Source organism: Homo sapiens, chromosome 17 (genome assembly GCF_000001405.40).
Source record: "Homo sapiens chromosome 17, GRCh38.p14 Primary Assembly".
Taxonomy (NCBI): Eukaryota; Metazoa; Chordata; class Mammalia; order Primates; family Hominidae; genus Homo; species Homo sapiens.
Window position 1 is genome coordinate 5446478 of NC_000017.11, and position 24441 is coordinate 5470918.

The 24441-nt window shown below is 45.2% G+C and overlaps 1 protein-coding gene and 1 long non-coding RNA gene across 5 annotated transcripts in view, besides 4 other annotated features; one reads left to right on the forward strand and one right to left on the reverse strand.

Annotated features, from left to right (window-relative positions):
- DHX33 (DEAH-box helicase 33) overlaps window positions 1-22505 on the reverse strand; it is a 28066-nt gene extending 5561 nt beyond the window's left edge. Inside the window, exons 1-11 of one of the 4 annotated variants that reach the window (NM_020162.4) lie at window positions 22094-22505; window positions 17052-17212; window positions 15842-16069; window positions 14462-14632; window positions 9520-9705; window positions 8683-8794; window positions 7344-7503; window positions 7103-7191; window positions 4330-4457; window positions 3726-3929; window positions 2332-2418 (exon numbers count right to left, since the gene is read on the reverse strand). In NM_020162.4, coding sequence (NP_064547.2) covers window positions 2332-2418; window positions 3726-3929; window positions 4330-4457; window positions 7103-7191; window positions 7344-7503; window positions 8683-8794; window positions 9520-9705; window positions 14462-14632; window positions 15842-16069; window positions 17052-17212; window positions 22094-22382 — 1815 coding nt within the window. In that variant the 5' untranslated portion in view covers window positions 22383-22505. Of the gene's footprint in view, window positions 1-2331; window positions 2419-3725; window positions 3930-4329; window positions 4458-7102; window positions 7192-7343; window positions 7504-8682; window positions 8795-9519; window positions 9706-14461; window positions 14633-15841; window positions 16070-17051; window positions 17213-22093 lie in introns of those variants that run through there. The other 3 variants (NM_001199699.2, XM_047436418.1, XM_017024877.2) reach the window with 3 other exon arrangements.
- Window positions 21557-22139: an enhancer, noted in NCBI's record as "H3K27ac hESC enhancer chr17:5371354-5371936 (GRCh37/hg19 assembly coordinates)". NCBI's record gives its function as "activates a minimal SCP1, AML or CMV promoter by ChIP-STARR-seq in naive H9 embryonic stem cells {active_cell/tissue: H9 hESC(naive)}" and the evidence as "EXISTENCE:reporter gene assay evidence [ECO:0000049][PMID:30033119]".
- Window positions 21557-22148: a biological region, named in NCBI's record as "H3K27ac hESC enhancer GRCh37_chr17:5371354-5371936".
- Window positions 21929-22148: an enhancer, noted in NCBI's record as "active region_11574". NCBI's record gives its function as "activates an Ori minimal core promoter by ATAC-STARR-seq in GM12878 lymphoblastoid cells {active_cell/tissue: GM12878}" and the evidence as "EXISTENCE:reporter gene assay evidence [ECO:0000049][PMID:35858748]".
- Window positions 22529-22598: an enhancer, noted in NCBI's record as "active region_11575". NCBI's record gives its function as "activates an Ori minimal core promoter by ATAC-STARR-seq in GM12878 lymphoblastoid cells {active_cell/tissue: GM12878}" and the evidence as "EXISTENCE:reporter gene assay evidence [ECO:0000049][PMID:35858748]".
- Window positions 22615-23883, forward strand: DHX33-DT (DHX33 divergent transcript). The gene is made up of 3 exons (NR_135644.1): window positions 22615-22662; window positions 23437-23517; window positions 23615-23883. It is a non-coding gene; the product is annotated as a DHX33 divergent transcript (long non-coding RNA).
- The last annotated feature ends 558 nt before the right edge of the window (window positions 23884-24441 follow it).

Sequence of the window (24441 nt, forward strand, 5' to 3'; positions counted from 1 at the left end):
CAATCTTATAGGTTGAAATGAGGATTTTATCCTTTGGGTTAAGGTCTGAGTTGAAAAAGAAAAAAAAAGAAATGAGGAGTTTAAATAAGGCAGCCACATAAAAAGTACTCAGAACAGTGCTGAACAAACACTTCATGAATGATAGTGATTATTTTAATTTGATGGCCTCCTGGCATGAGTGTATGTACGTCAGGTCACCATCTAGATTATTACTTAGTTACTGAGTAGGCATGTCTGTAAAGTCTCAGGACCTTACCAGTGCCTGACATATAATGAGAGGTATCCCTGGCCACTACAGGGTCCTAAATTCACAACTAATAGAGAAGCACCGTTTCTACTGTCAATGATAAATTGAGAAAACTTATGAAGCCAAGAGACAGACTGGCAGGAAACTGTTCAAATACAAAAGCAGTTTAAAAAAATGTGTGAAAGACAGAATACAATAGGCTACTATGAGAAGAAACAGCTCTAGTGCCAACCGTAGGCCGTTGGCATCAGACACAGGCCTGGGTACAGGCTGTGACTGTCTCCCAGCAGCGTCCGCACTGAGGGGGCACAAGACATTCACCACAGAGTACTCAGGACAGCAGCAAACACACGGACACTGTCTCAGTGATCAACAGCAAAAGAACACTTCCGCTACCCTCTATCTCTGACATAAAATGTGGAGTGTCATGCGAGCATTAAATATACCATGACAGCTCTTTAAAACACCATGTACTCTAAGAGGGAATAAAAAGCTAATATAAAACTTTGTGGGCCGGGCACAGTGGCTCACACCTGGAACCCCAGCACTTTGGGAGGCCAAGGCCAGTGGATCGCCTGAGGTCAGGAGTTCGAGACCAGCCTGGCCAACATAGTGAAACCCCGTCTCTACTAAAAATACAAAAAATTAGGCCGGGCGTGGTGGCTCACGCCTGTAATCCCAGCACTTTGGGAGGCCAAAACCATCCTGGCTAACATGGTGAAACCTCGTCTCTACTAAAAATACAAAATATTAGCCGGGTGTGGTGGGTCATGCCTGTAGTCCCAGCTACTCGGGAGGCTGAGGCAGGAGAATTGCTTGAACACGGGAGGCAGAGGTTGTGGTGAGCCAAGATCGCGCCACTGCACTCCAGCCTGGGCAACAAGAGCAAAACTCCGTCTCAAAAAAAAAGAAAGGAAAAAAAACACTTTGCGGTGGACACTTTGGCAATATCTAACAAAATCCAAATTCCCCCATCTAGAAATTCATTCTGTGTGCACCACAGCACATACGGAGGATGGTCACTACAACAGAATCTAAATGACCATTATTAGAGGCTTAAATAAACTGCACTGAATACAATGAAATGCTATGAAATCACTAAAATGAATGAGCTAGACACATGCAGCACTGAAAGCCCAGCCACAGGAAGGATTTGAGAAATACGCATGTGAGGCCAGGCACAGTGGCTCACACCTGGAATCCCAGCACTTCGGGAGGCCGAGGCGGGCAAATCACCTGAGGTCAGGAGTTCGAGACCAGTCTGGCCAACGTGGTGAAACCCCGTCTCTACTAAAAATACAAAAATTAGCCAGGCGTGGTGACGCACGCCTGTAATCCCAGCTACTCGGGAGGCTGAGGCAGGAGAATCACCTGAACTCGGGAGGCAGAGGTTGCAGTGAGCGGAGGCTGTGGTGAGCCAAGATGGTACCACTGCACTCCAGCCTGGGTGACAGAGCAAGACTCTGTCTCAAATAATAAACAAGAAAGAAAGAAAGAAAGAAATATGCCATGTGGAAGAAAGGAAGTTGTGGAACATGTACCTCATATGCACGTATCCGTTATGTGTGTGCTCACACACAGGCACAGAGACATGCACAAAAACATACATACACAGAAACAAATTCTAGAAGGAGCTACCCCAAACTGTTAACAGTAGTTATCTCTGGAGGGGCAGGATTATGGGAGACTTTTAAACTTTCTACATTATAAATCACTATTTTCTGCATTGTGTCAAATACTATACACAACTTTGGTAATCTAAAAGGAAATAATGCAGATATTCATACTTAAAAAAAATCTTATGAAGAATTCTAACACTGGAAAATGCTTATAAAGATTATAAAACCAAATATAAATTATACATATAATTTACTATGTAAAAAAATACAATAAAAACTAGGCTATTAGGAAATAGGCTAAACTACTGAATTGTGGAATTGTGGGTAACTTCCTTTTTTCTTATTTGTGAAATTTGCTACAATGAGAAATCCTTTTATAATCACTAGCAATAAGCAACTTCAAAATTTCTACCTTGAACAAAGTGACAGCTTTGTCACCCACAGAACACTAGGACCAGACGATACCTTTAAGCAGATGTCCCTCAGCTGTGCTCTGACTTCTGCTACCAGCGTCATATTCTTGCTGTTGACAAAATTCTCTTTGCACCAATCCTGAATAGGAGAAAGAGTGATATCACAATCCACTCATTCACCATTTATATGTTCACAGAGACGGGGTCTTGCTCTGTTCCCTAGGCTGGAGTGCAGTGATACAATCATAGCTCACTGCAAACCAATCCTCCCACCTCAGCCTCCCAGATAGCTTGAACTATCTGCACATGCCACCATGCCCAGCTAACAATCCTCTCATCTCTATAGAGAAAATATAACAACATTTTTAGAACACAGTTGAATTCAGAGAAAAAACTTCAGGTGCCAAAAAGAAACGTAGGAAAATATCTTTATATCAAAAAACATGAACTATAAGAAAAGTGTTAATAATTTAAACTAAAGAAAAACTTGAAGTTTCCCAGATTGGGATATTTGTCTCATCATACCCAATAAATGATTAGAATCTCTAGAATTGATTTTAAAAGTTCTACAAGTCATTAAGAAAAAGACCAACGACCCAGTAGAAAAATGGACAAAGGATATGAACAGACACAGAAAACAAAACAGAAATGCCCAGTCAATTTATGTAAGACTTCTTTCTTTTTTCTTTTTTTGGAGATAGATAGAGTCTCGCTCTGTCACCTAGGCTGGAGTGCAGTGGCACGATCTCGGCTCACTGCAACCTCTGCCTCCCAGGTTCAAATGATTCTCATGCCTCAGCCTCCCGAGTAGCTGGGATTACAGGTATGCACAACCACGCCCGGCTAATTCTTGTATTTTTAGTAGAGACGGGGTTTTGCCATGTTGGCCAGGCTGGTCTGGAAGTCCTGGGCTCAAGTGATCCACCTGCCCTGGCTTCCCAAAGTGCTGGGATTACAAGCTTGAGACACTGTGCCTGGCCCTGGGCAAGTTTTTCAACTGCACGAAGCTTCGTTTCCATGACTACATGTTTCATGAATATAAAAAATAATAATTATAGTGCTCATTTCTTAGGATTACTTTACTGAATAAATGAGATCTTACATTAAGAAGTGCTTAGCATGGGGCTTGGCACAGAGTAAGTACTCATTCATTGGTACGCACTATCATTATTAGACATATTACTTAATCAAGTTCCAATTAAGTTTTGATGGGTTGGGAGTCACTTAAGTCTTGTTGACTTAAACACATTCGGAACAGAGACCAGAATGACACTGCTTCGGTACTGAAGCATTTCTGAAATGCTGTCTGGCTTTCTTTTTGTGATTCTTTAGATAATTTAGCCAAAAAGGGAAAGCGTACTTTTTGCACGGCTTCAGTAGAAAAAGGGAAGCACATAGCAGAGACAAGCAGCTATCGCTGGAGAACAGGTGCAAGACAAGGCTCACCTTATTTCCGCCTAGGTTTTTGAAGGTCCGATAGATATTGAGCAGGGTCATGTGATCCCCCTCGCTGGATATGAACTTCTTGCGGACCCCTTGCACTTCCTCTCGCCGGGAAGGAGGGTTGTGGAGGACGCTGTCCACAGACAGCAGGGAGACAATGGTCAGGATCTCCTCTGTACAGTGGAATTTGGGGGACATGAGGATGGTCTGCAAAGCAAAATTTAAAATTGTGTAAACCCAGCTTTCTCCTAGCTTTAGAATGCACTATTTCTGTACATTGCTTTTGCAGTTTCCCTTCTAAGGAGTTAAAGGGCAGGTATTTCTAAAACCATGGCGATGTACATTAGTGTTATTTCACTCTTTAATATTCAATAAAACAGGTGACTGCCTTCCCTACAGAGTTCCAAATTTCTTGTGGGTAGGGGCTCTTAACTTCATCTCTTTGAATCCCACACTGAACATGAATCAGGGCTATTTGCAAACTAGGGGTTGGTAATTATGTAAGAGAAAAAGTGAGATTAATCTAGAAGCACTGGGTAGATGGTACTACTTTGGGACGGTTAACTGTAATGTACAGAAAGAGGACTGAGGAGAGGGTATCATTTACTTTGGCAAATTTGGGTTCTAAAGGAAATGCTGCCATCTTTCTTCCCATTGGAGTCAGGGTAAGCTGGTCATCCTTATGTTCAAGAGCACCTAACAGGTCCAGTTGGGCAATGGCCGCCTGAATGTGATCTAAAGAAACAGAGACATAAAAAGGAGCCAAAAGTCCAAAAAAATGAAGTTGCAGCTAGTTCAGTATTTCTGGGAGCTTCTGATAATTCTACATCAAACAACAGCAAAAATCATAACCGCCACTGCCCCCTTGACACACTTGTCAAAGAACGACATCACTGTCTTTAGTTCAATTCCCTTTTCTTTTTTGAGACAGAGTCTTGCTCTGTTGCCCACACTGAAGTGCAATGGCGTGATCTCGGCTCATTGCAGCCTCTGCCTCCTGGGTTCCAGCGATTCTCCTGCCTCAGCCTCCCCTATAGCTGGGACCACAGGCGCCCACCACCGCGCCCAGCTAATTTTTGTATTTTTAGTGAGACGGGGTTTCACCATGTTAGCCAGGCTGGTCTCAAACTCTTGACCTCAGGTGATCTGCCCACCTTGACCTCCCAAAGTGCTAGGATTACAGGTGTGAGCCACCATGCCCAGCCTCAATTTTCTTTTTAAATGACCTGTAATTTGGCAATATGTATGTAGATTTTGAATATACACATTAAAAGTGTAACATCTGACCCAGCAATGTTACACTTACGAATTTCACCTGCAGATACACATCGCACAGAGACCATATCGCCAGAACCAAACACATAACAGTGGAAATAGCAGTTGTCTCAGGGGCCAGCTGGGGAGGCTGGGAGACAAGGGGATGAGAAGGACATTATTACTATTTACTATTTTATATATTTTAAACTTTGAACCATGTAAATATAGTACCTATTAAAGAATAAAAAAGCATTTCTAAGGATGTAGTAAATATATACATCCCAATAAGGAGTGATCTGTAAAATGTATTAAATGAAAAAAAGCAGTGTGTTTCTCATTGCTTTTTTAAAGCAATATTTATCAACTGAAGGATGGATAAATGCATTTTGGTTTATTCACAGAATGGAATAGCACTTAGTGTGAAAAAGCATCAGCACAAATATACTATACGGAACAAGCTGAATGAAAACCGCTTACTCAAGAATAACTAACATAAACTTACAAACAACAGGTGGTTTAGGGATACATACGCATATAGTAAAACAGTGAAGAAAAGCAAGGCAATTACAAACAAAATATGGAAGAGTGGGTACCCCAAAAGAGTGGAAGGAGGCGAGGGCAAGTGGGTGGGGGGGACTCCTGGGGGCTTCAATTGGGTACACAGGTGTTAGATTTTAACCATTCCTTACACCTTATGTATCTTCTTCATTTGTATGTAAGAATTTAGCAATGAAAGAAAAAAAATCAAGCACAGAACAATACTCAATGTGTGTTGCTATTTGTGTTTTAAAACATACTACAGGCTGGGCGTGGTGGCTCACGCCTGTAATCCCAGCACTTTGGGAGACCGAGGTGGGCGGACCACCTAGGTCAGGAGTTCAAGACCAGCCTGGTCAACATAGTGAAACTCCATCTATACTAAAAAATACAAAAATTAGCCGGGCATGGTGGTGCACACCTGTAGTCCTAGCTACTCGGGAGGCTGAGGCAGGAGAATCACCTGAACCCGGCAGGTGGAGGTTGCAGTGAGCTGGGATCGCACCACTGCACTCCAGCCTGGGCAACAGAGTGAGACCCTGTCTCAAAACAAAAACAAAAACAAAAACATACTACAGCAGGGGCTTGGTGGCTCACACCTGTAGTCCCAGCTACTTGGGAAGCTGATGTGGGAGAATCACCTGAGCCCGGGAGGTTGAGGCTGCAGTGTGCTGAGAATGTGCCACTGCACTCCAGCCTGGACAACCAGAGTGAGACCCTGTCTCAAAAATAAATAAATAAATACATAAATAAAATCAAACACACTACATATACTCATATATGCATACATTTGCTCTAGAAGTCTACTAGAAAATGGTTCCAGTGGTTGTTCTAGGGGAAGGAAACTGTGAACCTGAGGATCAGGGCAGGACCCTTGTATACCCATCAACTGGTGACTTTGTGTTTTCTTTCCTTCTTTTTTAAACCAATTGCATTTCTTAAGAAAAGGGGGGGCAATAAAAAGAAAAGGAAAATGGTGCGTTGATGAGAGGCCAGGTGCCAAAGCCAATATCATAAATATTTCCAATTATTTTCTTCTTCTGTAGAGAAATTACTAATGAACAGGAGAGATGGATCAAATTCCAGTTAAAGGCAAAGAAATGTGATCTTTGCAGTCCCTGTGCTGATAAAAGTACAATTTCATTACATTTCTGTAGTATCCCAAGGACTCGCATGATGACCTTCACTGGTTCCAGAGGTCAAGGAACTTTATTGATGGTGCTGATAGTACAGAATCTATCGTTTCATAGCTAGGAACACTGGCGCATGCCTGTGGTCCCAGCTACTTGGGAGGCTGAGGCGGGGGGATCGCTGGAGCCCAGGAGTTGGAGGCTGTGATGGAGCCTGTGAATAGTCACTGCACCTCCACCTGGGCCACACAGTGAGACCCTGTCTCTTTAAAAGTCAATCAATGTATCTATCTATCATTTCATGATTTTCAGATGCTTCTCTAATAACTAATGTTGTCATCCACAAAATTAAATAAACAAAAGGAGATGACCAATATACTTTATTTTTTTGGAAGTGTCCATTTGTTGTTGTTTGTCTCCTCACCCACCTTCTGCAAAACTGTGGATTTCACTTACCTGGAGATGGCTTCGACATGAAGTCAAAGGTGAGCACATTTGGGACTTTCATTGCTAGAAGCTGAAGCATCACACTGGCCAGGTTACACCTGTGAAGAGCATGAGACCAGGGTCATGACCTGATCCCTCTGCCATTGAGTCAGAACCCCTCATGGTGGAGTGTGAGTAAAAACTGCAGCTCTGGGCAAGCAGGAGAGACATGGTGACAAACAGCAGCAGTGCAGGAGCAACTGGTGCCTACCTCTGGATCTCTGGCACGGTCATCTTATCAAACTTCTCAAACTCGTCCTCCGTGTAGAGCCGGTAGCAGATGCCACTGTCCTCTCTGCCAGCCCTCCCTGTGCGCTGCCAAGCCTGCGTCTTCGATACCCGCTGCACTGCTAACACCTCAAGACCACTGTCTGGATGGAGAGTGAGCCCCATTAGTGCTTCATCACATGAACAAACTCTTTCTACAGTGTCGATAAAAAGAAGCACACCAGTGGTTCTTTCAGCAACACGGGGGTCCAGAAAGCCTCAAGGCTAGCACAATGGACAGCACAAAACCAGACTGCTCCGCAGCGGTTTGGCCCTAGTGAAACAAGGCTTTGCCATAAGCCCACTGTGAAATCTGTTACAAAAACATCAGAAAAACCTCACGCATGCAGCAAGGGGCGAGAAGAGTAGTTTCCGAGGTCTTGCCTTAGATGGTAGGATGGCCAACCCCTCCAGTTTGCTTGGGACAGAGGGTTTCCTGGGATGTCGGATTTTGGGTGCTAAAACTGGGAGTTTCAGCAAACTAGGATGGGGGTCATACTATCAATCAATGACTACGAAATTAAATGCCTCAAATCACTTGTGTGCTTTATCCTCCCTCCCAGTTCTGCTGTAAGACAGAAATAATGTGATGTCTGTTTTCTAGCAGTAAATGAGGTTCATTTTCTTGATAAAGGTGTATCATTAGCCTGGCACTGGAGACCCAAGCTCTTTCACCTACGTCATCACAAAAAGATACACCTGTGGAAGCCAGGACCCTCAAATGTTTACTAGAGCATTTCAGTTCAATAATTGGGAGCAATAATTTCAGTGGTCTCAAATCCTCTGTGGAATAAAGCAAAGTATAAAACAGACATGAGTCAAGATGACCTTAAGTTAGCTTCTCACTGCACCTTCTTAGGAGAAGCCAGTGCTCCTTCCATGCCTCACCTCAGCCAGGAGATCTGGTTCCTTCCTGAGAAACCTGGGAGCTCAAACCAGCCATATATATATAGTTTCTGATGACACCCTTTGATTGACACCCAGCTGTCCCTGGCCTTAGAGCCGACTTCTGATGGGGTACCAGACCCTCTGCCCAGGTCCCTGACCCTGTGTGCCCAAGTTTGCTCAACCTGGGCTCTTCTTTCCTGCCTCTACTTCCTGTCTCACATACCCGCCTCAGGACTCCTTCGCGGACCTGGAGTGTAGGTGATCTCACTCATGGCGCCTGCCACCTGAATTTGTTAGTTACAAACATGAAACACTCAGGGGAAAACTGTGGGACTACAGTTTCAGTGGCTGCTCACTAGACACAGGAGAGACATTCATGAACTACAAATTCTCACCAGGGTTATACTTCTTTGCTTTAACCATGCCCGTGTCAACTACATATTTTATTCCTGTAATGGTTATGGAGGTTTCAGCGATGTTGGTTGAAATGATCACTTTGCGATAGCCCTAAAAGGAGGAAGAAAACCAAAAAGCCGCATTGACACACGGATGATTCAGAAGTCTTCAAACATATTCTCACCATTAACTTCCACAATTCACTCTTGACCAACAGAAGATGACTCCATTATTAATGGCAGTCATTAATATTAATGGTTGGTCATTAAACCGGGCAGGGGAAGGGGACGCTGCAGTCTTAAAGGTCAATTTGAGGCAATGAGATGCAGTGGAACAAGCACAGGAATCAGAAGCAAGTAGATGTGGGTTGGAATCGTGGCCCTGCCAGTGACTTACTATGCGCCCCCTTGAGCAATTGTTACTTCCCTTCTTGGGGCCTCAGGATCCCCATGGGATCATAACCTGCCTTGCCGGTTCCCACGAGGATGACAGACAGTGGATATAAATGCTAGCACAGTGCCTGGCACGGCAAAGGCACACAAGAAATGGCACTATGGACAAATGCAATTTATGCTGGTCCTTAGAAGTCACTCGTTTACCTTGCAGCTTTGGTTTATACTCTCCCTCATCCCAACAACTGTCTCCCTGCTCCTGTCACAGGAGCGCTGCGTGTGTCACCGCGCATTTTATTCCTGCACCTCCTCAGTGCGCTGATCTGGCACCTGGGTATCCCATCCCATACACCTTATCTGGAGCCTGGTAACAGGTACAGACCTCGCTGGTGGATCCGTCTGGGTGCCCAGAATAGGGCTGGACAGAAGAGGTGGTGCACTCACCTTTGGGGCCCCTTGGAAGACTCGGAGCTGCTGTGCATAGGGCAGGGAGGCGTACAGAGGAAGGACCAGCATCGCAGGGCAGCCGTCTGGGAGGTGCTTTGCAATGTCTCGGCACGTCTTGCTCATGGCTTCGATCTCCTCCTGCCCAGTGAGGAACACCAGGATGTCCTGTGAAGAAGGGGCTTCCTGTAAAAAAAGTAGAGTGGGTTTACTAGGCATTGATAGAATTGCAGCTTGCACAGAAAAAGACAATGGTGATTGATGATGTTTCCCAGAGTTATTTCTCTTAACTATAGAAATGTAAATGAGCCTAAAAGTTGATGTCTAGCTTGGAGAGAACCCTTACCAGCAGTGTGTAAATGGTAACAGGCTGGGTGTGATGGCTCACGCCTGTAAACCCAGCACTTTGGGAGGCTGAGGCGGGAGGATCGTTTGCAGCCAGGAGTTTGTGACCAGCCTGGGCAACGCAGCAAGATCCCATCTCTACAAAACACTTTTTTTTAAATTGGTCAGGGGTGGTGACACATGCCTATAGTTCCAGCTGCTTGCCACTCCACTCCAGCCTGGGCGACAGAACGAGAACCTGACTCAAAAACACAAAAAACAAAACTGTAATATATAGGAGTTAGCCAGCTATGTTTATAGGCCAAGTGATGAAATTTTGAAGGGAAATCATCAGATTGATTTTTCTAACAAGAACAATACCATGAAAAGCATAATCAGGCAAGCAAATAAAATCTGCATGAAGCTTCCTTTCTTTTATAAGCATCTTGAAAAATGAAGTTGACAAAACAGAAGGAAACTTGGGGAAATCCTAATCTATGGAAATGAACAGGCGCAGCCATGCTGGAGAAGGAGCCTTTAATGAATGACGCCGTCGAAAGCGCTTTCACACGCCCCAAAACACACACTATACTCGGACAACTGCTTGAGATACTGAGGTTAATGGGGTTCCTCACTTTCAAATGGAACAACACCCAAGTGTGAATGACATACCTAATGCCCTGATTTTTCTTTGATTTCTGATCAGATACATTAATTTGTTTGATGTAAAGTGCTTAACACTTTGGGAGGCCGAGGCGGCCAGATCACCTGAGGTCAGGAGTTCGAGACCAGCTTGACCAACATGGTGAAACCCTGTCTCTACTAAAAATACAAAAAATTAGCCAGGCGTGGTGGCGCACGCCTGTAATCCCAGCTACTCAGGAGGCTGAGGCAGGAGAATCACTTGAACATGGGAGGCGGAGGTTGCAGTGAGCCGAGATTGCATCACTGCACTCCAACCTGGGCGACAGAGCAAGACTCCATCTCAAAAAATAAATAAATAAAATGAAGTGCTTGATGGACTGGGCGCAGTGGCTCATGCCTGTAACCCCAGCACTTTGGGAGGCTGAGGCAGGCAAATGGGTTGAGGTCAGCAGTTTGAGACCAGCCTGTCCAACACAGTGAAATCCCATCTCTATTAAAAATACAAAAGTTAGCTAGGTGTGATCCCAGATACTCAGGAGGCTGAGGCACAAGAATCACTTGGACCTGGGAGGTAGAGGTTGCAGTGAGCCGAGCTCGTGTCACTGCACTCCAGCCTGGGCGACACAGTGAGACTCCATCTCAAAAAAAAAAAAAAAAAGTGCCTAATGGCAAAATAAATAGAAAAAAATTTTAATAATTATATGTATATTTATGTATATATGTAAAAATACGTATTTTTTAATATGTATTTTTTTTCAGCCCAGTATTAACAGAACAAATGTGCAGAGGGATACACAGACAGGATAAAATCTAAAACAGTCAAAACCTCATGAGTGGGAGAATTCATCAAAGCCAGTGGTAACCTAATGCACCAGCAGCCATCATTCATGAAAAATTCTCGTTTGCTTTCTGCAGCTGAACAAGGCAGACTTCTTCCCCAAACACTATGAAAACGACAGTAAAGGCCACTGTCTTAGAAAGAAAAGGCAATGAGAGATGAGGAGTCTCAACTCATTTTGGAAGAGAGGGGAAAGGGGCTGGATGACTTGGCTAGAGGGAGGAAACTACAAATTATGTTGTGGGAGAGTGAAAACTCAGGGATTGGTTCAAAGTCTGAGTATAGAGTAGTTAAAGCCTTCAGTTCCCTCTCCTACCCAGGACGGCCAGGAGACTGGGAAGCCATGGGTCTCACCACGGGAAAATGGTGACAAAGTGAAGAGTCAAGATGACAGCTGCACAAAGGCCCAGGAGAGCCACCTGCCCCAACTGGAACAGCAGCATAAAGGACTCTGAAAAGACAGACTGTGCTTGAACACAGAACTATACACGACTGGCATATGAGATGTTGGAATATTTGGGAGAAAATGAGCCAGAGCTACCCAGAAAGCTTGCACAACTGTGTTGTTCAAGAAACAAGGTACAGGGATGATGGTGTGCTACTAGCAATGTGTGGTCATAATATTCTTAGTATTGATACTGGACTCAGAAAACATCATAATAGGCCAGACACAGGTGTGCAAGCATGTAGTCCTAGCTACTCCCAATGCTGAGGTGGGAGGACTGATTGAGCCCGGGAGTTCACGACCAGCCTGGGCAACACAGCAAGATCCTGCCTCAAAAACAAAAACCTAAACAAAAACATGATAGAACTGTCAAGAGGTTGGAGATAAAGGGGGTTGGGGAGGGGCATTCTAAACTTTTGTCACCATGGTAAGAAATTAGCATATGATGCCTGATACCCATAACTCAAAAAATAGTGGTCAAAGCAAGGTAGTTTAGAAACATGAAAGCAATATGTAGAGATTGAAAGTAGGTGCCCTAAACAGCAGAAATCTGGGATGTTGAAGTAAAAACAACTGCTATTCTTTTATTATAAACCTTTTACTATAAACTACTTGACTTTTTAAAACTTTAAATCCCATATGCATCACTTATTTTAAAATAAAAATTGACTGGGCACGGTTTCTCACATCTGCAATCCCAGTGCTTTGGGAGGCTGAGTCGGGAAAATCACTTGAGGTCAGGAGTTTGAGACCAGTCCGGGCAACGTAGCAAGACCCTGTCTCTACAAAACATAAAAAAAAATTAGCCAGGTGTACTGGTGTGTGCCTGTAGTTCCAGCTACTCAGGAGGCAAAGGTAGGAGGACGGCTTGAGCCCAGGAGATCGAGGCTGTAGTAGCTGTGATTATGCCACTGCACTCCAGCCTGGGTGACAGAATGAGACCCCGTCTCTAAATAAGTAAATTAATTAAATAAAAAGTTATTTTAAAAGTTTGCCTCTGGATTTTCTCAGAAAGCTAATAGGAAGGTAAAAACATTAAATTTTATACAAATTAAACAAAAGTGACTTAATGATTCAAATTTTTGAAGTAAATGTTTAATAAAATGAGAAAATATTTTTAAATATTCTCCTAATATAGTTTAAAAAAAAAAGAAACTCTAAGTTGCAACCCATTATTGGGCTAATGTCAACTTTTTCTTTTTTTGAGATAGGATCTTGCTCTGTTTCCCGGGCTGGAGTGCGGTGATCATAGTTCACTGCAGCCTTAATCTTCCAGGCTTAAGTGATCCTCCTACCTCAGCATCCCAAGTAGCTGGGACTATAGGCATGCACCACCACACCTGGCTGATTGTTTGATTTTTAGTAGAGACAAGTCTTGCTATGTTGCCCGGGCTGGTCTCAAACTCCTGAGCTCAAGCAATCCTACCCACCTCTGCTTCCCAAAGTGCTAGGATTACAGGTGTGAGCTACTGTGCCCAGCCAACATTTTCTTTAAATGAGGCACAAAATATCAGAGTACCCTACATGTAGTAAAAGACACAGTACTTCTTCTTTAAAAAATAATTTTTATAATTTTTTTTATAGAGACAGGGTTTTGCTATGTTGTCAGACTGGTCTTGAACTCCTGGACTCAAGTGATCCTCCTGCCTTAGCCTCCCAAAGCGTTGGGATTACAGGTGTGAGCCACCATGCCTGGCCAGAAGCAGTGTTTCATAGACCTATTTCAGTTATATGTATAGCGTACGGGGTTGCAAAAGAAAAAGTACCTTTTTTTTTTTTTTTTTGAGACAGACCCTCGCCCTGTCACCCAGGCTGGAGTGCAGTGGCGCGATCTCGGCTCACTGCAAGCTCTGCCACCTGGGTTCGCGCCATTCTCTTGCCTCAGTCTCCCGAGTAGCTGGGACTACAGGCGCCCGCTACCACACCCGGCTAATTTTTTGTATTTTTAGTACAGACGAGGTTTCACCATGTTAGTCAGGAGGGTCTCGATCTCCTGACTTCATGATCCACCCGCCTCGGCCTCCCAAAGTGCTGGGATTACAGGCGTGAGCCACTGTGCCCAGCCAAAAGTACTTCTTAATGGCGGTTATAATCAAGGAAAGTTGGTAAGCTACTGCTTTAACATGAAAATTTTCTGGCTCAGTGTAAGAAAGCTGCTGGTCAGAACTGAATTATTTTTCTTTTCAATGAAAATTAGAGATATCATAAATAAAGGATAAAAATCCAGACACAGCAAATGAACTCCTTATTCATTGTTTTTTTTTTGTTTTTTTTTTCAGACGGAGTCTCCCTCTGTCACCTAGGCTGGAGTGCAGTGGTGCAATCTCGCCTCATTGCAACTTCCACCTCCCGGATTCAGGCGATTCTCCCACCTCAGCATCCCGAGTAGCTGGGATTACAGGCACCCGCCATCATGCCTGGCTAATTTTTGTATTTTTAGTAGAGATGGGGTTTCACCATGTTGGCCAGGCTGGTCTTGAACTCCTGACCTCAGGTGATCCACCTGCCTCGGCCTCCCAAAGTGCAGGGATTACAGGCGTGAGCCACCGCACCTGGCCTCCTTATTCATCTTGATGACACAACTCACAAAGTTGTTTTATTCAGTAGCTTTTCTTTTCAAGGCTCAATGTTCTCACTACCAACTGCAAGATAAAAGAGAACTTTTCAGGAATTTGCCCCCAGCACCATACCTGGTGGATCTGGAAGACGGAGACAAGCGCGGCGTGCAGGTAATCATTCTGAGGCTGTTTGGTGTAAAACACCTGGATCGGATGCTGCCGACCCTCTAGGTAGAGGACGGGGGCGCCATTGAAATACTGAGAGAACAGGTCCACATCCATCGTAGCTGACATCACAATCACCTGCATAAGAGAACGAAGAGGAGGACCAGAAACAAATAGTGGGAAGGCCTTTCCGTGTCCCTCTCGAGCCCCAAAAGCAGATGATTGAGGCCTGTGCCACCCCCATCACAGTTTACTTTCTTCCAAGGCTCTGAGCAGAACAGGCAGAGGAAAACACCCTGCTAGAGCACACAGGTCTGTTTCCTTTCCTTTCCTTCTTTTTTTTTTTTTGAGATGGAGTTTCACCGGGCACGGTGGCTCACGTCTGTAATCCCAGCCCCAGCACTTTGGGAGGCCGAGGCAGGCGGATCACGAGGTCAGGAGATCGAGGCCATCCTGGCTAACACGGTGAAACCCCGTCTCTACTAAAAATACAAAAAATTAGCCAGGTGCGGTGGTGGGCGCCTGTAGTCCCAGCTACTTGGGAGGCTGAGGTAAGCAATGGCGTGAACCTGGGAGGCGGAGCTTGCAGTGAGCTGAGATCGCGTCACCACGCTGCAGCCTGGGTAACAGAGTGCAAAAAAAAAAAAAAATCAAGACGGAATTTCAGTCTTGTTCAAGTGACTCTCCTGCCTCAGCCTCCCTAGTAGCTGGAACGACAGGCATGTGCCACCATGCCTGGATCATTTTTTGTATTTTTAGTAGAGACGGGGTTTCACCACGTTGGCCAGGCTGGTCTCGATCTCCTGACCTCAGGTGATCCACCGGCCTCGGCCTCCCAAAGTGCTGGGATTACAGGCGTGAGCCACCGTGCCGGGCCAATTATCTGGATACTTTCAGATCATATTTCTGCCAACTCCCTGAAATACAAGTTGTCTATAAAGTTATGCTATTTAATGAACTTTCACTTTTTTTTTTTTTTTTTTTTTGAGACAGAGTCTCGCTCTGTCACCCAGGCTGGAGTGCAGTGGTGTGATCTCAGCTCACCGCAACCTCCGCCTCCTGGGTTCAGGCGATTCTCATGCCTCAGCCACCCAAGTAGCTGGGATTACAGATGTGTGCCACCACACCCAGCTAATTTTTATATTTTTAGTAGAGACGGGGTTTCACCACGTTGGCCAGGCTGGTCTCGAACTCCTGACCTCAGGTGATCCACCGGCCTTGGCCTCCCAAAGTGCTGGGATTACAGGCGTGAGCCACCGCGCCCAGCCAGGCCTGTTTCCTTCTGTGTGTTACGCATACTTTCAGGGGAAGTTTCCCTCATACTTTCAGGGGAAGTTTCCCTCATACTTTCAGAGGAAGTTTCCCGAGTTCCTTTCTCCTCTTCTGTGCAGCTTTCACCACTCCAAAGAGCACATCTGTGTGGATAGTCCGTTCGTGAGCTTCATCCAAAATGACACAGCTGTATTTCCGAAGCAAAGAGTCTGAAATTGCTTCACGCAGAAGCATGCCATCTGTCAGAAACTTGATCCTGGTGTCTTCTGAGGTGACATCATCAAAGCGCACTGTATAGCCAACCTGTGCAGGGAAACAATTTATTCAGTCACCAAACATTTCTTGAGCGCCCACTGTGTCCGGCACTAAGTTGGGCACTTGCACTACCACAGTGAACAAGACCAACACCAACGCTTCCCACTCCCTTGGGAAGCATGCAGTCTAGCTGCTGAGAGAGACAATGGTCAAGTTTACTTTAACCGCAATTAATGTAACTATTACAAGGAATATTTAAAATTAACCTTCTACCTCAAGCTATTTAATAGTTTCATGTGGGCCGGGTGTGGTGGCTCACACCTGTAATCCCAGCACTTTGGGAGGTTGGGGCAGGCAGATCACGAGGTCAGGAGTTTGAGACCAGCCTGACCAACATGCTGAAATCCCGTCTCTACTAAAAAATACAAAAATTAGCCACTGGGTGTGGTGGCACGTGTCTGTAATCCCAGCTACTCGGGAGGCTGAGGCAGGAGAATTGCTTGGTTGGAGGCGGAAGTTGCAGTGAGCCAAGATTGCGCCACTGCACCTCAGCCTGGGCGACCGAGCGAGACTATCTCCAAAAAAAAAAAAGTTTCATGTGAAGCTATGTACAGATATGAAAAGACGTCTAAGGTATTTTTAAGTGAAATGAGTACACACACACACAAATAAATCTGTCTTATATACAGTTCTGAGACTCATTCTCAATACTCACATATACACTGGCATAATGCTTACAATTTTTCTAGAATGATATATAGATAAGAGAGTTAAGAGAGGTTACTGAAGGCTTAAGATGTTCAAGGAAAGCAACTAATTTATCCAACCTGACGACAGATTTTGAAAGCAAAGCACATGGGACCAATAGAGCCCCTGATCTCTCAGGAGCTGGTAAAGAACTCTCGGAAGAATAGGCAAGAAAGCAGCTCACTATGTAAAAGGAGTCTTGTTTAGAAAAATAAAAGGCAGTGGGCATGGGGAGAGAGCTGTTGAGTCAAGAAGTACTAATAGTCAAGAAGGAACCAGGTACCAGCTTCCCAAGTTCAGTTCTCTTCTCATCTGAGACTCTAGTAGCAAGAGAGATGGCAGCTACTCGACGAGGCTGGGTCACAGCAATGATGCCCTGGCGGCTGATCCCTCCTTCATACAGGTACTGAGGGATCTGAGTTGTCTTCCCAGAGCCAGTTTCCCCTAGGAGAGAGGGGGAAAAAAAAAAAAGGCTCACTGAAATGCAAACTGGGGCTCGGCACCAGGGCTGGCACCTATAATCTCAGCACTTTGGGAGGCCGAGGTAGGAGGCTCTCTTGAGCCCAGGAGTTCAAAATCAGCCTGGGCAACATAGCAAGACCCCGTCTCAACAACAACAACAATTAGCCTGGTGTGGTTGCATGTGCCTGTAGTCCCAGCTACTAGGGAGGCTGAGACAGAAGGATCATGAGGCCCAGGAGTTCAAGGTTACAGTAAGCCATGATTGTGCCACTGCATGCCAGCCTGGGAGATAGTGTGAGACACTGTCTCAAAAAAAATAATAAAAATAAAAAAAGAAATGCAAATCGGCTGGGCACAGTGGCTCATGCCTGTAATCCTAGCACGTGGGGAGGCCAAGGGAGGAGGATCACTTGAGCCCAGGAGTTGCTCCTGGGCAACATAGGGAGATGCCGTCTCTACAAAAAATACAAACATTAGTTGGACGTGGTGGTGCACGCCTGTGGTCCCAGCTACTCTGAAGGCTGAGGTGGGCATATTGCTTGAGCCTGAGAGGTTGAGGCTGCAGTGAGCCATGATCACACCACTACACTCCAGCATGGGCAACGGAATGACACCCTGTCTTAGAAAAACAACAACAACAAAAAGCAAATTGACATAAATTTCACCAAACAAACAGCTCAAAGTCAGAAGTAAAAGATAAAATACCCTGTGTTGGTAAAGCCTCAGGAGAATGGGCATTCAGGTATGTATACTGCTGGTGAAATTAGCTGGTTAATTGGTATTGTTTCTCAGGTGGTCAAATTATGTTTTTTAAATCTTTAAAATGTTTATATCCCTTGACCCACAATTCTACTTGCAGAAATTGATTCTAACAAAATAAGTAAACATGTGTATAAAGATACAGCTTCAAAGAGATTTTATTCAATTTTGCTCCTGACAGAAAAAAATTGGAAACAATATAAATGTTCAAAAGGTAATTTACATAGTTAAAATATAAAATAAAATACAACCGTTACATAGATTTCTGCATACTGACTGACATGAAGAGACATCCATTCATGCACTGCTGCCTTCAACTCCTGGCCACTCCCCAGCCTGCTGCCTCCCTTCAAACCCTCTGCCTCTGCCCACACTATGGGCAGAACACCTGCCCTCACACTGCCTGCCTCGCAAACTCTAAGATGAGTTAGGCCTCAAACACGCTCCCCTGGCTGCACAGTGGCCCTCCTCTGGGCTCCGTAGTGCCTTGTTCATCTCTCTTCCAGCACTGACCATCCTGTGTTGTACAGAAGCGTTTAAATGTGTCCGTCCTCCTCCAACACCAGAAGGGAAGCTCCCAGAGGGCAGTGCTCTGAATGTCCCTCTCGTGTACTTGAGTATTTTGCATACAATAAGCACGCAGTAAATGTTACTTCCTACCCTGTGTGAATTCCTTTAACAGTGCCTGATTAGAGCAAAGAACTCAGTAAACCTGCGCTTCCTTCCCCTCCCTCTAGCTACCACCAGGCCTCTCTGACTTCAAAAAGTCCTCCAGTCCCATGATTTGTGGGTTTTTTTCCCTGTCAGTCTGTCAGCCCCCTCTGACTGCTCATCCTTCCTGACCCAGATAAGAATCAGACAAAGGATTTGATTATTCTGCAATCTTCCTGCTGAATCCACTAGGCAAAACCCCAAACTTTGATCCATGTCTCTATCTTTCATGCTCCTATACCAGGGCAACAGAGCGTTGCTAAAGTAAAATACAAAATGCTTGGAACCAGAAGTGTTTTGAACTTTGGATTCTTTCAAGTTTTGTAATATTTGCATTATACTTACTGGCTGAGCATTTTAAATGTGAAAATCTGAAGTCCTAAATGCTCCCAAATCCAAAACTTTTTGAGCATCTGATATGACACTCAAAGGAAATGCTCCTTGGAGCCCATTCTTGACTTCGGATTTTCAAATTTGGGATGTTCCACCTATAATCTGGCTGTGCAGAAGCAAACCTGAGTTTATAGTGTAGCCGAAATGCACCTAGGCACCACTACTGCCATCGATCTTTTTTCTTGTTTTTGCAGCCTGTCTCGTCTCCATCCTCCCCAAGGGCCCACTTGAAGCCCAGTGACTCCCATTCTGAGCAGGGCTCCTGAACCTGTCTCACAGAAGTGGGGTTCTAAAATGTGGTCTCTCCCTAACTGCCCCTAGAAGCCCTTCTGCAGTGCACCATCCTTACATCCGTTCTCTAGCCCTGCAGCCTCTTAGCCTTCCTCCTCTTCCAGACCAGCCCTGCATCTAGCCCTTGTGGCCAAGTTCCCCCGTCCCCCATGCCTCCTGATCTTTGCTCTGTTAGCTCGATTCTATCTTCTGCCTCCCTCCCTACTGAGTTCTTCCCCTCAACCTCTGAATACAGATGGTCCCTGTCTTAGAACTGTTTGACTTCAGGATGGAGCAAAAGTCAAAATCGTACAGTAGAAACTGTACTTTTGAGTACCCACACAACTGTCACTTTCAGTATGGTATTCAATAAATTGCATGAAATATTCAAGACTTTATTATAAAATAGGTTTCATGTTAGATAATATCACCCAACCATAGGCTAATGTACATGTTCCGAGCACACTGAAAGTAGGCTGGGCATATTAAATGCATTTCCAACTTAGGATATTTTCAACTTATGAGGATGGGTGGATTCATCCACACATAACCCCATCCTAAATCGAGCAGCATCCATAAAGTTTCTCTCAGCTTCCCTCCTTTTTCCTCAAAACAGAAGCCTCTTCCCCCTGCTTTCAGCCCTCAGCTCAATGACAAATCAGCTGTTACCCACACAGCTTTGTTGAAATAGCTCTCGATGGGATGGATCCACGATCAATAGTGTCAGAGATAGTCTGTGAAAGTCATGAAAAATTTTATGAGAGGAAATGTATGCAAGAAATGTTTTACAATTTAAAAGTGATTAGGCCTCCTGAATGCTTTATAAAATGTCACCATAACTCTTAGCTGTAGAACTTGCCTGCTTTGCAGCTAGGTAAAACCTAGGACACATGGAGCTAAATGCTGAAATAAGCCAGACCTTAACTGCACTTCTGTCTAAGTCCTAGGCTGTACACCTAGCACATAATTAAAATCCCGAACTTACCAAGGTTTTCAACAAAGGTAAAGGTTGCTAAAAGTTAACAGTGTAACATGTATTTAAAACTATTGAAGAGACACTTTATGTGCAAGGTGTGTAAGGAAAGTAAAGTACACTTTCGGTAAAAAGATTATCAGGAGGGATAAGAATGCACATTTTTACCTACGTTAAAAGGTTAAATAATTGTTTTGAGGGGGCCAGGTGCGGTGGCTCACGCCTCTTTCTATATCAACCAATCGGGCCTAGTAAAAAGCGCTGCTAAAAAACGTAAAGAAAAGGCTAAAAAGCTAAGGGAGTACCAAAACCACCAAATGGACTCTTGGTTTGAAAACAAAATCATAGCATGGGTCATCCCATTCCTGGGCCCTCTCCTAATAATATGCCTGGAACTAATGTTCTTACCCTGCCTAATTAATCTTTTTCAAAGATTTTTAACTGACAGGATCATGGCAATTTCACAAACAACTACCCAAAAACATCTACAGACGGCATTGCTCCTAGTCAACCCGAGACCAGGAAACTCTCCATCCCCTCGTTGCAGGAAGTAGCCAGAAAGAACATGCCGTCCCTCCTCCTTTTTATAACTATAGGGTCTGGATTGACAAAGCAGGAACATCACCATCTTGGACAAGCCCCTCATTCAAAAGTTCACCTTAATAAAAAACCGCCTAAATCCAAAAGGTATCAGCCTAATGGCTAAGGTCAGCACGACCATAAACCACAAATAACATCTCCAGCCAGAAACATTCCAAACTCCTCCCCGACCAGAGACATGTTAAGGGATAACCCCACTCTGGCCGGGAATATGCCAGCCGGGAATATGCCAGCCGGGAGATAAACCCCCTCGGGCCGGAAAAATGTCTGCCCCAAGATAACATCCCCTGCTCCCAAAGAGTCCAACCCTGCCAAAAACTTCTCCACACATATAAACATTCCAAGCTTGTGATAAGCCCCCTCACCCTAACACCAATATATACTCTTAGTCTGTAAGAGAAAGGGCTCCTGACCGAAATCGGCCAGGAGCGCCTCTCAGGTTTTAACTAAAGAAAAGCTGTCTTTAACTGCCAGCCGCGTTTCGTGTTTCTTTCCTTTTTCTTTAACTCTTACAAATAGCTCACATCCAAATCCAGTGGGCATCACATCCAAGTCCAGTATAACCGGACTTGACTGCTGCATCTGCTCACTCTCTATTCCTTTGACTAGCAGCACTCATGGGTCTCCTTCCTCTCTTTGGCTGCTCATCCTTTCCGTCCTTCAGTATCTCCTCTAACACGTTGGGGATCATAAGCCCCATGAAATCAGTCCCTGCCCCACAACTCTGCCTCTTTTCATGCACCAGAAACTACACCTTCCCTTTCGACCGGAATGTGTTCAGGTTCCCATCTCTCAAACGGGCTTTCCCCCCTGCCTAGAATGCCCTCCCTCCCACACGACCTCCCCAGCCGCCTCCTCACAAACCGGGTCAGATCCACTCTTCTAAGATCCGCAAGCCCCCGGTACGTTTCTCTACCCTTTTACGCGGAAGGTGAGTCTTTGCCTACACACGTTGGTCACTCTCACCGGGCTGTCCAGCGCCTCCAGGGCAGGGCTGCCGGACTCTTCTTCGAGGCCCCTCTCCAGGTCTGGCCCAGAAAAGGTATTCAGGTTTGTTGAAGCCACGAACGAAAGGGATTGAGAGGCATGTAAGAAAAACTGCTCTAGCTAAGCCACGGACGAAGTGCAAGGAAGAGCCCGCCGGCGCGGCCACTCACCGATGAGGACCGCGTTGTCCAGGTTTCGGAGCTGGGCCAACAGTTGCCCCCGCGCTTGGAAGATGGGCAGACTCCGGCGCTGCAGCTCCACAGCTTCAGGGTAGGGACTGGCCGAGGGCTGGGCCAGGGGCGGCTGCTGCCTCCGGCCTCCTCCTCCTCCTCTGCCGCCGCTGCCCGCAGTCAGCAGCATCACCACTTGCCTCCCGGGAGGGAAGGACCCAGCGCGGCTCGGAGGTCCAGAGCCTGGCCGGAATCTCTTGGCCGGCGGGAAGCCCGCCTCCTCCGGCATGTCGGGAGGGCACCGCGGCGGGAGGCGCAAGCGCCGAGAGCTCCTGCCCCCTCTCAGGTGCAGACAACAGGAGCACACCGCCCCTTCCTCGCCGCCACGTGCTGGCGGCTCCCGGCGACCACCGATGACCTCACGGCCGCCCCAGTCTTTAGAAAAAGGGACTGCATCTCCCAGCATGCCTTGGGGGCTTGGGAAGGCTTTCACTTCCTGGGGGTGGGAAAAGCAGGGCCTGAGGTACAACCAGGAAAAGGCCCGGAGCTACAACCGGGAAACACAGGATGTAAGGTTCCGTGGGACTGTAGTCTTGGTTAACGAGGTTTTTCTCATTGTTTTATTTTTTTTTTTTGAGATGGAGTTTCGCTCTTGTTGCCCAGGCTGGAGTGCAATGGCGCGATCTCGGCTCACACTGCAACCTCCGCCTCCTGGGTTCAAGCGATTCTCCTGCCTCAGCCTCCCAAGTAGCTGGGGTTACAGGCGTGCGCCACCGGGGCCCGTCTAATTTTGTATTTTTAGTAGAGACAGGGTTTCTCCATGTTGGTCAGGCTGGTCTTGAACTCCCGACCTCAGGTGATCCGCCTGCCTCGGCCTCCCAAAGTGCTGGGATTATAGGCGTGAGCCACCGCGCCCCGCCCATTGTTTTGTTCTAGTAGCATTACTTCTTTTCAGTAAACCCGCGTTTTCCCCTTCTCTGTCCAAATAACAGTCACTCTTCAAGGAAAGTACTTAATTCTGTAAAATCAATGAGAAGCGCAAACGTGCATTGTCTAATCCTCTAAACAACTTATAAGTTATGTGGTATATACTGGTTATTAGATTATCTCTAATTTACAGATTAAGAAATTGAGTCATCTTAGTCATTCAGATGTCCCCAAATCATAATTTTGTGATCATCTTGTGTTACAGAAAGGAAAACCAATTCTGATATACATGAATTTAACTCAGAAAATGACTCCTCCAACGGATGTGGTCGCCTCCAGTAATACAAGCAGAGAAAGGAGGGAGTTCAATGAAATTAAAATTGTCTTTTATCTTTCCTTTCCCCCAACCATTCCAGCCAGACTCTCAAGTTCTCTACATGGCTGTGCAACCCCATCACAGACACTTCAGTGAAGATTCAGAACTGCAGCAGAAAAAAGTAGGATTATAACTAGTTCTTCCTTACCCTCCTAAAAGTTCTTAGATGATTTGCTAATTTACCACGGAGAATGCCAAGTAGCTGTTTGCTCTTACAGGAAATGTGATTTCCAGAGAATACACCGTAAGCTTCAGCTCATGTGAAGGGTATCTTCTGAAGCTCGTTTCCATGAAACTCGCCCTGTTAAATATCTCCCTTCCCGTGATTCGTGAGAGAGCTAGTCTAAAAACAAAAAACCTCCCCTTTGCTCCAGGTCGGAGATAATTTTCCTCTAGTTGCTGACAGTTTGGTGACCAGGCATTACTGAAAATGTGCACGTTGAACCAGCAGCAGATTTGTGTTTAAGAATAAACTGACAAATTTTCACTTCCTACCCTGAAATATTTAGAAAGGCAACCCAAAACTACAAGGGATAATAAATGTTAACTCTCAAATTATGGACTTTGAGTAAAGACATCCCAGTCCTTTTTCCCAGTGTGCTTTCCAGAGTAACTTAAGGTAGGAGTCCGATGTTCCAAATGATTACAATAATTTAGGTAATGTAAATGGGTGGACTTATTTCTTGATGGAGCACATTCCACCTCTACATGCAGCCCCTAATCATTTCTAGGCAATGGCTGTCATGTAGACCTATTATTGCCAGATCTTCCAATTTTCTCAAGAAAAGCCAAAAGTGAAGATTTTTATCTGTCAATGTTAAATACAGGTTTAAACTTAAAAAAAAAAAAAGTACTGTCAAAACAAAGCACATAGGTAGGTAACAAATCTGTAGGTAACTCATCCATAATCTCTGGCCTAATGATCCAGCTATTCTATAGCCTCAAAGCTAAGAGGACCAAAGAGTGGAAAAATTAAGTCCTATATATGCATCAAGCCATGCTGCTCACATTTCTCCCATTGGTAGACTGAAATCTGCTGTTTCTC